Source organism: Homo sapiens, chromosome 8 (assembly GCF_000001405.40).
Source record: "Homo sapiens chromosome 8, GRCh38.p14 Primary Assembly".
NCBI lineage: Eukaryota > Metazoa > Chordata > Mammalia > Primates > Hominidae > Homo > Homo sapiens.
In genome coordinates, this window is record NC_000008.11 from 39549304 (window position 1) to 39550101 (window position 798).

The window sequence follows — 798 nt, forward strand, 5'->3', positions numbered from 1 at the left end:
ATTGTCCTTACTATTATTGTATTGTTATTTATCTCTCCCTTCATTGCATTAATTCTTACTTTATACTTTCAGTTGTTTCAGTGTTAAGTGTTTATATGTTTATAATTATTATGTCCTCTTGAGGTATTGATCTTTTTATTACATAATGATATCCTTTGTATCTAGTGACAGTTTTTGACTTGAAATCTATATTTTAATGATACAAGTACGGCCATGTCTGCTGTCTTTTGTTTACCATTTTCATGGGGTATATTTTTCCATCCCTTCACTTTCAGCCAGTGTGTGTCCTTATAAATGAAGTAAGTCTCTTGTAGGCAGCATATAGTGAGGTCTGGTTTGTAATACATTTGTCCATTTTATGTCTTTTGTTAAAAAATTTAATCCATTTATATTTCAAATATTGACAGGTAAGAACTTATTACTGCCACTTTGCAAATGGTTTTCTGATTTATTGTAGATCCTTTGTTTCTTCCTCTCTTATTCCCATCCTTTGTAATTAGTCAATTTTCTCTTGCTGCTTGTATGATTCTTTCTTTGCCTTTCACTTTTTTTTTTTTTTTTTTTTTTTTTGAGACGGAGTCTCGCTCTGTCGCCCAGGCCGGACTGCGGACTGCAGTGGCGCAATCTCGGCTCACTGCAAGCTCTGCTTCCCAGGTTCACGCCATTCTCCTGCCTCAGCCTCCCGAGTAGCTGGGACTACAGGCACCCGCCACCACACCCGGCTAATTTTTTGTATTTTTAGTAGAGATGGGGTTTCACCTTGTTAGCCAGGATGGTCTCGATCTCCTGACCTCATGA